General features: G+C 35.9%; 1 protein-coding gene and 1 long non-coding RNA gene across 3 annotated transcripts in view; one reads left to right on the forward strand and one right to left on the reverse strand.

Annotated features, from left to right (window-relative positions):
• Nucleotides 1–13,989, forward strand: part of IL1RAPL2 (interleukin 1 receptor accessory protein like 2) — a 1,201,631-nt gene that overhangs the window by 972,772 nt on the left and 214,870 nt on the right. The window lies entirely within an intron of this gene.
• On the reverse strand, nt 2,039–12,297 carry LOC107985680 (uncharacterized). Its single transcript, XR_001755940.2, has 4 exons — nt 12,264–12,297; nt 6,175–7,155; nt 4,242–4,302; nt 2,039–3,281 (listed from the first exon to the last, which is right to left on the reverse strand). It is a non-coding gene; the product is annotated as an uncharacterized LOC107985680 (long non-coding RNA).

Raw genomic sequence — 13,989 nt, forward strand, 5'->3', positions numbered from 1 at the left:
TACAGATAACCAAGGAGGTGAAAGATCTCTATAAGAACTACAGAACACTGCTGAAAAAAAATCAGAGATGACACAAACAAATGGAAAAATATTCCATGCTCATGGACTGGAAGAATCATTATCATTAAAACAGCCATACTCCCCAGAGCAAAGTACAGATGCAGTGCTATTCCTATCAAACTACCAATGTTATTTTTCACAGAAAAATGTTCCAAAATTCATATGGAACCAAAAAAGAGCCCAAACATCCAAAGCAATCCTAAACAAAAAGAACAAACCCTGAGGCGTCACATTACCTGACTTCAAACTATACTGTATGGCTACAGTAACAAAAATAGGATGGTATAGGTACAAAAACAGACCCATAGACCAATGCAACAGAATAGAGAACCCAGAAAATCATACTGACAGCATCTGATATTCGACAAAGTAGACAAAAATAAGCAATGGGGAAAGGACCTCTTATTCAATAAATGGCGCTGGGATAGCTGGCTAGCCACATACAGAAGAATGAAACTGGATACCTTCCTTACACCATATACAAAAATTAACTCAAGATGGATTAAAGATTTAAATTTAAGACCTTAAACAGTAAGAATCGTAGAAGAAAACCTAGGAAATACCATTCTGGACATAGGTCCTGGCAAAGATTTTATGACAAAGGTTCCAAAAGCAATTGCAACAAAACCAAAAATTGACAAGTGGTATCTAATTAAACTAAAGAGCTCTGCACAGCAAAAGAAACTATTAACAGTAAACAGAAAATCTACACAATGGGAGAAAATATTTGCAAACTATACCTCTGAAAAAGTTCTAATATCCAGAATGTGTGATGAACTTAAACAATTGTACAAGCAAAAAACAAAAAATCCCATTAAAAAGTGGACAAAAGACATGAACAGACACTTCTCAAAAGAAGACACACAAGCAGTCAACAAACATGAAAACATGCTCAGCATCACTAATCATTAGAGAAATGCAAATCAAAACCACAATACCACTGTGAGATACCATCTCACACTAGTCAGAATGGCTATTATTATAGTCATTCTGCCAGCCAAAAAACAACAGATGCTGGCAAGGCCACAGAGAAAAGGGAATGCTTATATACTGTTAGTTGGAATGTAAATTAATTTAGCCACTGTGGAAAGCAATTTTGAATTTCTCAATAAACTTAAAACAGAACTACCATTTGACCCAGCAATCCTGTTATCAGGTATATATTCAAAAGAAAATAAATCATTCTACCAAAAAGACACATGCACTCATAGGTAATCACAGCATTATTTACAATAGCAATGACATGGAATCCACCTAGGTGCCTATCAACAGTGGATCGAATAAATAAAATGTGGCATATATACGCCATGGAATAGTATGCAGCCATAAAGAATGAAATCATGTCATTTGCAGCAACATTGATGCAGCTGGAGGCCATTATCCTAAGTGAAAGCAGGAGCAGAAAACCAATTACTGCATGTTCTCACAAGTGGGAGCTGAATATTGGGTACTCGTGGACATAAAGATGGCAAGAATAGACACTGGGGACTACTAGAGGGAAGAGGGAGATTCTCTCTCTAAGCAATCTCATGTAGTCCCATGACTTTGATTATCATTTTATTCCATTGATTCCAAAATATTTTTCTCCACCTCATTCTGCTCCGTTGAATTTCTGACTCATATCTAACTGCCCACTAACATCTTCATTTTGTGTATAAATAGGTATCTCAAAATAAAAATTAAACTCCTTACCTTTGCTTTTCCAAATCTACCTCCTACATGAGTAGTCTGCTTCTTGGAATATATATATATATATATAATATAAATATATTAGTTATATAATATATACATATATTATATATGATATATAATACATACATATATTATATATGATATATAATACATACATATATTATATATGATATATAATACATACATATATTATATATGATATATAATATATACATATATTATATATGATATATAAATATAGATTATATGTTAGATTATATATATATATATAAAATCAGCCCTCTTTTCTTCATATATATTGCCATTTGCTTAGTCAGGTCACCATCATCTCTTGCTTGAACTAGGGCAATAGCTTCCTACCTGGTCTTGATTCAACATTCCTATACCTAGTTTACCCAAAGAGCAATAGAAATGGTTGTTTAAAAATGTAAATCAAATCATATTACTCTGCTGCTTAAAAGTCTTAAGTGGATTTCTACTGAACTTGGAGAAAAAGCTGAAGTATTTACCATGTCCCACAAAGCGTAAGTGGATGAACAGAGGAGCGAGAAGTTAATTATGGCTGGAGGAGAGTCAGGAACATTTGATGGAAGAGATGGCACTTGAGGTGGACTTTTAAGGGTAGGTTAGATTTGTATATTTGGAGATAAGGAGAGTAAGTGGAAAAGTACAGATAGATTATCCTTGAAGAAAAGGAGAGTAAGTGGAAAAGTACAGATTGTCTTTGAAGAAAAGAATGTGATCCAGTGCAGTTTGGAGAATGAGGCATATGACATGCTTAGGGAAAGGTAAATCTGGACAAAGTAGTTGGGGCAGATTGTAGAGAGCATTGAATACTGAGCTGTGTCCTAGCCTGAGAAGAGGAGGGATGTAAGAGATTATCAAATCCTCCTTTCTGCTTCCTCCTGAAATTTCTCTTGGGTCTGCCCCTACTTTGCATTCCCCACTTCCTCTTCCCTGGTTCTAGCCCAAGTTACCTCTTGCCTGGACGATTAAACAACCTCCTAATTAGTCTTTTCTTTCCCTTCCCTTCTCTCAACCTTTTTCTACACCAGCTTAATCTTTCTAAAGCACAGCTCTGATCACACCATATCCTTCTCCAAAAACCTTCAGTCATTCTGTTACCCACAGGATGAAATCCAAACTTTATAGTAGGGTAGTTCAAGCCACTATCATTCCCACCACCCCCACACCAGGAAATTTAACCTGCGTTTGCTGTCTTTGTATCCTTTAGCTCCCTCTTGATGAGTCATACCTCCCTGCACACTCTTTCCTCTGCACATCCACTGATTCTTCTTTCTCTTTGCCGTTGTACATTCAGTTGCCTCCTCTTGTACTACTTTCACCCAGCTTCATATCTCTCCAACTGGACATGTCTCAATGCTGCACAGTTCCACCATCTTCTCTACCAAGCTTCAATGCTTTTCCACCTGCTCAAGTTGTTAGTAATTTCTCTCCTCTGAATTTCCGTAATATTGTATCTGTACTTCTCTTGTGGAGAGCATTGTAAGAGAGCATTGTATTAGCCACTGAGGATAGAAAGGTGAATAACACACAGCTTTATACTATTTTATATATGATGCTACATTTAAAGATCAATAATGTAGGGCTGTGTGGCACAATCAATAACTGTAGACTGTGTGACACAGCCTGTTGTAGTCAGCCAGACTAGTTATCTCTCTTCAAAGAACGTAGAATAAACCCCCCTCTTGGCTTCTATGGAAAACAGACTATACAAATTGCTTTCAATGTTTAGTTTTAAGAAGCTAGACTATATACCATCTCTATACCACCAATAACACTGTGAAAATCTCTTTGCAGTTTTTTGTCCTTTCTTCCCCTTTCCCAGAGGTGTAGTGGAAGAGAAAGGGTGGGATCACTAACATTTGTTTAACATTTCCTATTTGTCATTTAATCCTCACAACAATCCTATAAAATAGATTCTCTTTTTTTTTTATTTTTTATATTTTTTATTTATTTATTTATTTATTTATTTATTTATTTATTTAATTTATTATTTTTTTTTTTTGAGACGGAGTCTCGCTCTGTCGCCCAGGCTGGAGTGCAGTGGCGGGATCTCGGCTCACTGCAAGCTCCGCCTCCCGGGTTCACGCCATAAAATAGATTCTCTTATATGCCTCTTTTATAAATGAGGTAACTGAAGCATAGAGTGAGTAGAGAACTCAGGATTTAAATTCAATCTAGGAATTGGAGAAGTTGAGATTAAAATGCATGCAATCTGGCTCCATAGTATCCTCTATTTAACTACTATACTACACTACATAACTACCACTGTTTAATGAAATAAGTATATTAGTTCACTGGGGAGAGAAACATCTTCAGACTTCTGAGAAGAATTTGTAACACTGCTCTCTCTGTAAGTAAATACTGCCCTTTTATAGAACCATGGCACAGTAGCTCCTTTTGTATATATGTTTCCAAGGAAGTGGCCTGGCATCTTATCTCATGTAAAACCTGTGAAAACTCACCTATAAAGTTCAATCAGTCAATTAACTACTAAATCTTGAGTACATACTGTATGGCCCAGCCCTGTAAGAAACCAGAGAAAATAAATATGGTCATTTAAAAATATCTACAACTCAAAAGCAGTGCATCAAATAGGTTGAAAAAGTATTTAAATGATTCCTATGGAGTTGGAGAATAAATCTGAATATGAATGCTGCTTGTTTTTCCCTATACCTCACACAGTGGCTTCCTCATCCATTCATAGAACATTGGAGTGGTGAAATGCACTGAATGTGAGATACAATGAGGTCCTTTACAAGTTCTTTTCTAGATGGCATTGGTTTTCACATAACCTGGAGGGCTGGCTGAGGCTGTGAACTTTTCTGCATAATCAGCCTGAGACATCTGAAGCCAAGAAAGACCACAGCAGTGACAGAACACCTACTGTGAGTTAAGCAAAGAATGGGAGATTAACTTTTACACATGTCTATAGTTCATTTTGAGTGAATTTTTGTGCTTCTTGTGGTACCTTAATCAAAAATTCACTAAACATAAATGTAAAGGTTTATTTCTGGACTCTCATTTCTGTTCCATTAAATCTATGTTTTTTCTTGTGATAATGCCACACTAGGGCTTTATAGTAAGTTTTGAAATCAGAAAGTGTGAGTCCTCCAAAAGTATTCTTTTTCAAGATTGTTTTGGCTATTCTGGGTCTCTTTCATTTCCGTATAAATTTTAGAATAGACATGTCAATTTCTATTAAAAAGCTCACTGGGATTTTGATAAAGGTTGCGTTGACTTTTTAAATCATTTTGGGGAAAATTGCCATTTTGAAAATGTTGAGTCTTCTAATTCATGAGCATGGAGTGTGTTTCCATTTGTATATATTTTCTTTAATTTCTCTCAACAACATTTTGTAGTTTTCTAAGTCATGTACTACTTTTGATAGATTTATACCTGAGTATTTTATTCTTTTGATAATATTATGAATGGAATTGTTTTCTTAATTTTAATTTTGGCTTATTCATTGCTATTATTTAGATATACATTTTTCTGTATATTAATTTTTGCATCTTACAACTTAAAATGTATTTATTAGTTATAGATATTTTTGTAGATTCCATATCTCTTTTTAGATTTGTTTATTTGCAGATGAAAGACAAATTTACCTCTTCCTTTTCAATCTGAATGTCTTAAGTTTTTTCCTTCTTTCTTTCTTTTGATTCTTCTCTTTTTTTTTCTTTCTTCTTATTGCCTTAGCTAGGATCTCTTGTACAGTGTTCAATAGAAGTGGCGAAAGCAGACAACTTTGCACTGTTCTGTATCTCAGAGTCAGTATGGTTACTGGCTGCATGGTGTACCTTTTCAGATCCTTTTATATTCAATCTATTTATGTCTTTGCATCTAAGGTGTCACTCTTGTAAACAGCAGATCATTCTATCTTGCTTTTAAAAAACCTAATATGATAATATCTGCCTTTTAATTTGGGAATTTAGCTAATTCATGTTTAAGATAATTTCTGATTTGGTTGGATTAACATTTCTTATTTTACTGTTTTTTTATATGTCTCCTTCCTCTTTCTTTCTTTCTTTTTTGATTGTTGTTTCTGTTTCCCTTCACTGCATTCTTTTCAGTTAAATATTTTTTGTGTGTGCACCAATTTAATTCCCCTGTAGATATTTAGCTAATTTTTAGTTATTTTCTTAATGGTTGCTCTAGGGATTACAATATGAATCTTAATTAACGAGAACCTCCTTCAGATTAATACTAACATAATTTCAGAAAAATATAGCAATTTAGCAACAGTAAGTTCTCCCTCTTTTTTGTATTGTTGCTGTCATATATATTGTATCTATATATGACCAACCTAGAAATGCTGTGTTGTAATTATTGCTTCATGTAATCTTAATCTTTAAAAAAAGTATAGAGTGTTTTATTATTAACCTACGTATTTACCTTTTCCGTTGCTCTACATTTCTTCCCGTAGTTCTGGATCTGGTGTCATTTCCTTTCAGCATTGAAGGTCTTCCTTTAGTATTTCTTAGAAGGTAGATTTGCTAACAGCAAATTCTCTCAGTCTTTATTAATCTGGGAACATCCTTATTTAGCCTTCATTTTTGAAGGATAGTTTCACTGGATATAGAATTCTGTTTTGGTAGTTTTGTAATGAAATGCAGGTCCAGATGCTTACCACTTGCAGAGTGCAATTAACAAGAGCAACATCTGGTAGAAAGAAAGTGACTATTAACCAAAACTAGTAAACGGGAAGTAGCCAGATTCTTATCCAAATTAATCACTTTGATTTTTTGTGGGAGAGGCAGGGGTTTTAAAAGGAAAACTTTTTAAGGAAGCCATGCGAGAATTGGGCTGAGTGCAATGTCTATGTGTCTTCTTCTGTTGGCTAATTTTTTTCTTTTATCGCTTTGAATATGTAATTCTAGCCTTCATTGTTTATTATGAAGTCAGCCTTAATTATATTGATGCTCACCTATATGTTATGAGTTTTTTTCTTTCTCTTGTTGCTTTTAAGATTTTCTCTTTGTATTTTGTTTTCAGTGATTGGCTTATGATATATCTAGATGTGGATTCCTTTTTCTTCAAAGTGCAGGCTGTGCAGACTTTACTTTCTTCTGGGCCCTTTCACATCTTATCAAAATCTGCTTCTGAGAAGTATGTTACCATGTGTGCAGCCTCAGGGTTTGCCAGAAGTGTGTAGCTAGCTTGGGCCTCCATTCCAGAGTTATGTTTATCCCAACCATGACTGCAGCCTCTAGTTAGTAAAGCTGTTAGATTTTCTTACTCACCTTGTGTCCAAGATGATCACTTCCACTGACAACACGGTTGGGCATGGGTGTTGCCAGTGCTCACTTTTCCAAATCAGGTGAGCCCCCTTTGATAGTGGCAGAACAGCTTCCAGTTCTCACGGCCTTCCACACCCTAATAAAATTTATGCCTTGGCTGAGATGGGGTTGGGGGCGCAGTGGGAAAGAATAAGAATGGAAGAAGCAATACCACAGATTCCTACTGCTTTTCATGTGGTATTTGTTGAATGTAAAGATAATGATCTAATTAACATAGTAGTTTACATTTATTCCTTCATTCGGGTAATTTCTTCAGAACCTAATATGTACCATCTTTCGATCTAATATCCCAAGTAACATTATTCATACATCCTCGAGAATTCCATATTTATTTAGGAAAACAGACATGCAAATAAACACAAACAATACAATGAGATCATTAAAATGGAGAGAAGGAGGAAGGAAAATAAGAAAGGTATCACTAGGGGTTCCTGCTGTTTAAAGAAATCCTATGGTGATGGTGATTTTTTTAAAGAAAATAATAATCACCACCTATTAATATATCTATGGGACAAGTACAGAATTGGGTGGGCATAATGGGAGGGAGGAATCTGGATGAATTGTAGTATATCTAGGAGGATCTGCTGAAAACTACAGGTTTGTTGCCTGACCTTTGAAGGAGGAAAGACTTTAGTTATGGCAAAAAGAGGAGAAACATGCCCCATGAGTAATGGAATTCATCTTTATCAGATGCCTAGTTATCGCTAGTTACAAACTACGTTTGCTATATATTCATAAGATTTTCAAATTATTTGAAGTCTAACACCCAATATAATGAGCAGGATTATACTCTCACCACTTCTATTTTCTGAAATATATTAGTTGATTATTGTCAGTGAAGTTGAACGTATGGTCCTAAAATGGCTTTAAATGATTTTATACATTTTCTCTTTTATTATTATCCATCTGATACTTTGAAAGAGGCAGCATACGGCAGTTAATTTTCTCCTCCAGTCCCTCGTGCACAATAATAAAACAATTCAAAGCAGTGCATATTTCAGCTGCCTTTTATAGATGAATTATACCTCCTGCAGTCTGTACATGAAGACATAGAACAGGCCATGAGGCAGATTTTAGCATAAATGTTATTTTGCTTGCTAGGAAGGATTTAGAGAATGTATTTAAAATAATGTGAGCTTTAAGTACAAATCAAATGCTGAAATGCATCTTTAATTCGGAAATGTATAGTAAATCCAAACAAATGGGTGAATAACCTCTATCGTACATTTTTAATACAAAGGGACTTGTTAGCCATTTCAAATGTCATTTGAGTGTTTGAAAAAGATGTGAATTACAATCATAGATTCTGAAGATTAAAAGAGCCATTTAAGATCACCTAGTAAACCCCTTTACTTGTTACTAGAAGACCCACTACAGCATCCCCTAATTCAGCTGTTACTATCTAACCAACTTTCCAAAAATATAGGGCTTAAAACATCCAGCACAGTTTTGCTCATGATTCTGTGGGTCACCAATTTGGGCCAAGCTTAGCTAGGCAGTTCTTCTGGATTCACCTGGGCTCACTCATGTGACTGCAGTGATTTGGTGGCTCTACCATCGAGTAATTGTCTAATCTGGGCTCATTCATATGTCCTGTGGCTAGTACTGACTGTTGGCTGCATCCCTTCCCAAGTGGTTCTCATTCTCAAAGAGGTTATTTCAAACTTCAGATGGTGGGACTGTGTTTCAAGAGAGGGCAAGTTTCAATGTGCACATACTTTGTAAGTCTCTACTTGTCATGTTTGTTAATATCTCTTTGCAAAACAAATCGCATGACCAAGCCTAGCTTCAAGATGGAGAAACAGATTCTATCTCTTGATGAGAGAAGTGGAAAAGTCACAATGCATGCAAGGATAGGGAAAATTTGTGGCTATTAAGTAATCTGTCACATTCTGTTATTGTGGCTATCCATCTTTTGTTTGAACATCTCTGATGAAAAGAAGTTTAGTGCCTTCTAAATTAGCCTATTTTATCAGAGTTCAACTCTGGCTTCTGGTAACTTGCATTCATTGGTGACAGTTTTTCATCCAAGCACACAGCTGTCTACCTGGCTAGCCAGCAAACAAGCACCTACTATGTTAAGCACCAAATAGCATAGAAAAACATAGTGAATAAAACAGATGTGATCCTTGCTGTCATGAAATTCATAATTTACTGTAGGGAGACAGACAATAAATAAGAAAACAAACAAATACATTTTGAATATATATATATTGAAATTATATATATATGCCTTGAAGGAGTCAAGGGAACCATGAACACTTATACCAGGAACATCCAAACTAGTCTGGAGGAGGTAGGTCAGGGAATGCTTACTTGAAGAAGTGGCATAAAGATTAGACAGGTGAAGAGTGAGGAAAAGAACATTTCAGGCAGAGTAAACAGCATAGACAAAAGCCTTGAGGTGGAAAGAACTTTATTTGTTCCAAGCCAGTATAGCTGGAGCAAAGTGAACAAAGTGGAAGGCATTATAAAATAGTGTTGGAGAAATAGGCAGCAAAAAGATTGTGTAAGGCCTTCTGGAGTTTTGTCATTTTATTTCTTGAAGTCATAGAGAGCAAATCCAAATCCCTCTTTGATGTGATAGCAGTATAGGATGTAGCTAAGACTGTAGGCTCTGGAATCAGAGCACCTGGATAAGTATCCACACTCTACCACTTACTGTTTGATCTCGGTCCTGCTTCTTCATAGGTAAAGTGGGGATAATAATTGCTACTTCATAGGTTGCTATGTGAGTTATATAGAATAACATATGTAAATGGATTAACACGGTCTTAGACACATAGTAAATGGCAAATAAATGGTAGCTATTAGCATTATCAATCTTTTTTACGTCTCTTCACCTTATTGTATCATTCTTTTCCAAATATATTCTAAACATATGGGTTTTAACTGAGCGTCCTCTTTTGATGATCCAGAATGATTCAAATATGTTGTTAGGAAGATCATCCATAAATTCAACTTGAGTTTTTCATGCCGTTATGTAAAATAAACTCAATGCCTTAGATTTGGTCCTTTCTGTGTATGGTAAACACGCAGTTAGTGTGCTGTCTTCCAAATCCCAGTATGAAGTATCATATTATTTATTTCCTGATGTGCACAGATGAGGTGTGTGTATGTGTATATGTGTTTATCACTAATTGAATCATAGTCCCCAAGTTAATAGCAATGACTGGAATATTTTTATCTGTCATATGGCAGTTATTCTTTCAGCAACAAAGATTAATTCTTTAAATGACCCAATTTGTTATGAAATTTGTTATATGTCATTATTCTTAAATCAACAAGTTGTTAGGAATTATAGAAACCTTAACCTTCATCTAATTTTTCCCCCTCATTTCCCTGTTGCTGTGGGCAGAGAGATGTGCTGCCCAGAAACCTCTTAAAGGTAGAACTTGTTGGACCGTATATGGAATGTTGTGAGCAGACAGCCTCCTGTTGTCACCTCCCTTCACGGTTTGTCTTGGCTACAGAGAACTGTTGTACCCATGGGCTTATCCTTCCTATCCAATGACTAAGTGTAATGGTGGTATAGAGGCCCATCCATCTGAGTCCAATATGAAATGTGCTGATGAGCCATATATACTCTAGAACTCCATATGTGGTTTATCTGCATGGTAGTTTTTCTCAACTTGTTCACTCCTGCTCCCTCCCACTACCTTTCATAGGTATAAACATCCTAAAAACCCAGGATGCCAAATTTCTTCACAGTATCTACTCCACAGAACCTAACCTGCAACATTTCTTAACTCCCGAAGCCCAGAATTACTCAGAGACCTGAACCTAGAATCCGTCTCTAATTCTAAATCTTAGGCTGCAGTCATTCCGGCCAACTTCTTTATTAAATCTTTCTTCATAGGTTCAGTTTTCCATTTCTTCAATTATTTTTATTGCTTTTCTAGATGCTTCCCTAAAATGTGGGATTCTCTTAGTTTCCAAAGTTTGTGAAACTTGCCAGGCTTTATACTGAGATATATTTATATGTTAGGAGTGATTACTGGGTGTGGGAATGGCACTGCTTTACAAAGCAAAGGCTTTTTCACTGCACCTTCTTTCCAGGAGATAGGACCCGAGAACTCTGAAATTGCCATTAATAAAGAGGGAGAGGCAGGTGAATAGGCAGTAGTCAGGAAGATGAGCAGATAATTCCCTGGGGTCTGCCTTCCTGAGTGTCCTCCACCACAATTAGCTTAGCCGTTATAAATTCCCTCATGTCTTATGTTCTGTATTGTCACCTGGATCTTCTTCAGTGTAATCTTTTCTCAGTGCCACTTATTAAAAATGCTGACTTTCAAAGAGCTCAATAAATTTTTTTAAACATCCCCTGACTCAATAAAAAGGGATGGAATTGAACACTAAGTCTATATTCCACTGTCTATCTCCCAAGAGTGTTGAGATAAACTATGAAATAAATCTTTCTGTCCCATCCAGGTCATTTCACTAGCTTTAATATTATTTACAGCCCTATCCATACAATCCCTGTCCCTTACCCTGAAGTCATCAGTGTGTTCTCTTTCTTTTTGTTGCAAACTCACAGAGTCTTTCAAACTGAAAATAGCTGATGCCTCTAGTACTGATAATGAAAGAAATACTCCTCTGGTTGCTTGTAGGTCGTTTCCCAAAATGGAATGTAATTTCAATGAGCAGAAAAGAGATTTTTTAAATGCAGATATGGTCACAGGGCATACTAAATTGTCAAAGATTCTAAGAGTTAGTATTTACCATGGGACAAAATGTCTGGGAGGATATACCACAAAGAGTGGTTGTCTCTATAATGGGATTACAGATAATTTTTATTTGGCATCACCATATTCTATATATTAAACATATCAATTTTGTGATAAATTTTATACTAAAAGAAGTAACATATGCATTCTAGAAAACCCTCATACTACATTTCCATACATACATAAATACATACATACATACATATGTGACTAACATGATTCAGTATACTTTTCACATTCCGAAACCAGAGTGAAGCCAGATGAAATTAAGTGGCATGCTGTCCAGGTTTTTACAGTGAATAGTGGTAGAACAGGTCTATAATAATTTTTCTCCTGATACCCAGCCTAATGTTCTTTCTACAACTCTAAGGTAGTTTTAAAGGGCAGCGGAGAAATTGCCTGAAGGAAGATTTTTACTCAAAATTTCAGGATCCCATTATGTCTTGAACATACTTACCATTAAAAGTATCACTGATGCTAATGGAATGGAAGAGAATCCATGCACTTTACCAAAAAAAAAAAAAACAACAACAACAAAAAAAACACATTAGTACCCAGTCTTCACATACGCCTCATTCCTTTATAATGAAGGTAAATGAGGCCTTTAACTTTAAGAACCTCAGATGTTCCATTCTTGATAAGAACGATTTTATTAAACTTATGATGTTATTTTTCTTTCACCTGTGGACATTTCAGTAGAACAACTTCCCACCCCTAGCTGCCTCCATGTCTCTCAAAGCAGCAGCCTGAAAAAATCTATTCAGGAGCTAATATAAATTTTTATTAAATGTACTTAAAAATATTGATAAGGCATATAAAGCAGAATGTTCAGTGAATGTTAAATAAGCAAGAATTTAGTCCTATAAAGTATATAAAGCTGCTGGGCTGCAAATAAAAATGACCACAATGCAGCAAGAAAGTGATAAACATTATAAGTTATCTTCCCCCTAATTATCCAGGTTACATTTCATTAATATGCAATGAAAAATGTTAACTCTCCTGGGCTAAAGCATAGGGAAATAGTAAATTAGAAGATTTCCCTTTGGATGCCAGGAGCGGTGGCTCACGCCTGTAATCCCAGCACTTTGGGAGGCCGAGGCGGGCGGATCACAAGGTCAGGAGATCGAGACCATCCTGGCTAACACGGTGAAACCCCGTCTCTACTAAAAATACAAAAAAATTAGCTGGGCGTGGTGGCGGGCGCCTGCAGTCCCAGCTACTCGCGAGGCTGAGGCAGGAGAATGGCATGAACCTGGGAGGCGGAGCTTGTAGTGAGCCGAGATCGCGCCACTGCACTCCAGCCTGGGCGACAGAGCCAGACTCCATTTCAAAAAAAAAAAAAAAAGATTTCCCTTTGGAGACAAGATTTTGATTCCCTATACTTAACTCTCTTGTAATATTTATCATTCTGAATGGCAAAAATCAGCTTATGTGTATTTTCCTTCATTGTACCATGAAAAGATGAAAGATAGTAGATTCTAGTTTCTCTCTAATTTAATGCTTAACAAACTGCCTGGCTCATAGTAGGCATTTAATAAATATATGTTAAGTCGTATTCTTAAACGTATAACAAGCATTTCTTGGTAACTAACCACACTTGCATTTTCCCCACCAAAATTATACCTTGTGGCAGAGAGAGTCTAATTACACATCAAACTCTGTTCCCTTTTTGCGTTCGCAAATCTAGAATACACATAACTAGAATGCACTCTTGAGTCTCCCTTAAACTTAGGTGTGGCCATATGACTAATTTTTGGCCAGTGGAATGTGAGTGGAAATGATGTAAGCTACTTCCAGGCATGACACATAAAAACCTCCCACCTAATCCTGTCCTCTCTGTCTTCCTCCATCTGCTGGCTATATGCTGAATCCCAGAGTATTCTTGGAACCCATATGCTGAAGGTGGCACAGCCTGGGTCTCTGAATAAGTGCGAAATGCATTTCTATTGTGTTAAGCCGTTGAGATTTCATGTTTTAACAGCTACCACAGATACAGTTACTTTAACAGATACGTGTCTATAATACTTAATATCAACATATTATTGCACTTGTTCAATAACAAAAAAAATTTCAATTACAGTTCACACAATTTATTTGGAACATCATTTAATTTAAAAGTCATTTTAAGTTTAAATTGTGTTAAGTATTCTTTATACTCTAATAAGTTTTATTTTCCAATATCA

The sequence above is a fragment of the Homo sapiens genome, chromosome X (assembly GCF_000001405.40).
Source record: "Homo sapiens chromosome X, GRCh38.p14 Primary Assembly".
In the NCBI taxonomy this organism is placed as follows: Eukaryota; Metazoa; Chordata; class Mammalia; order Primates; family Hominidae; genus Homo; species Homo sapiens.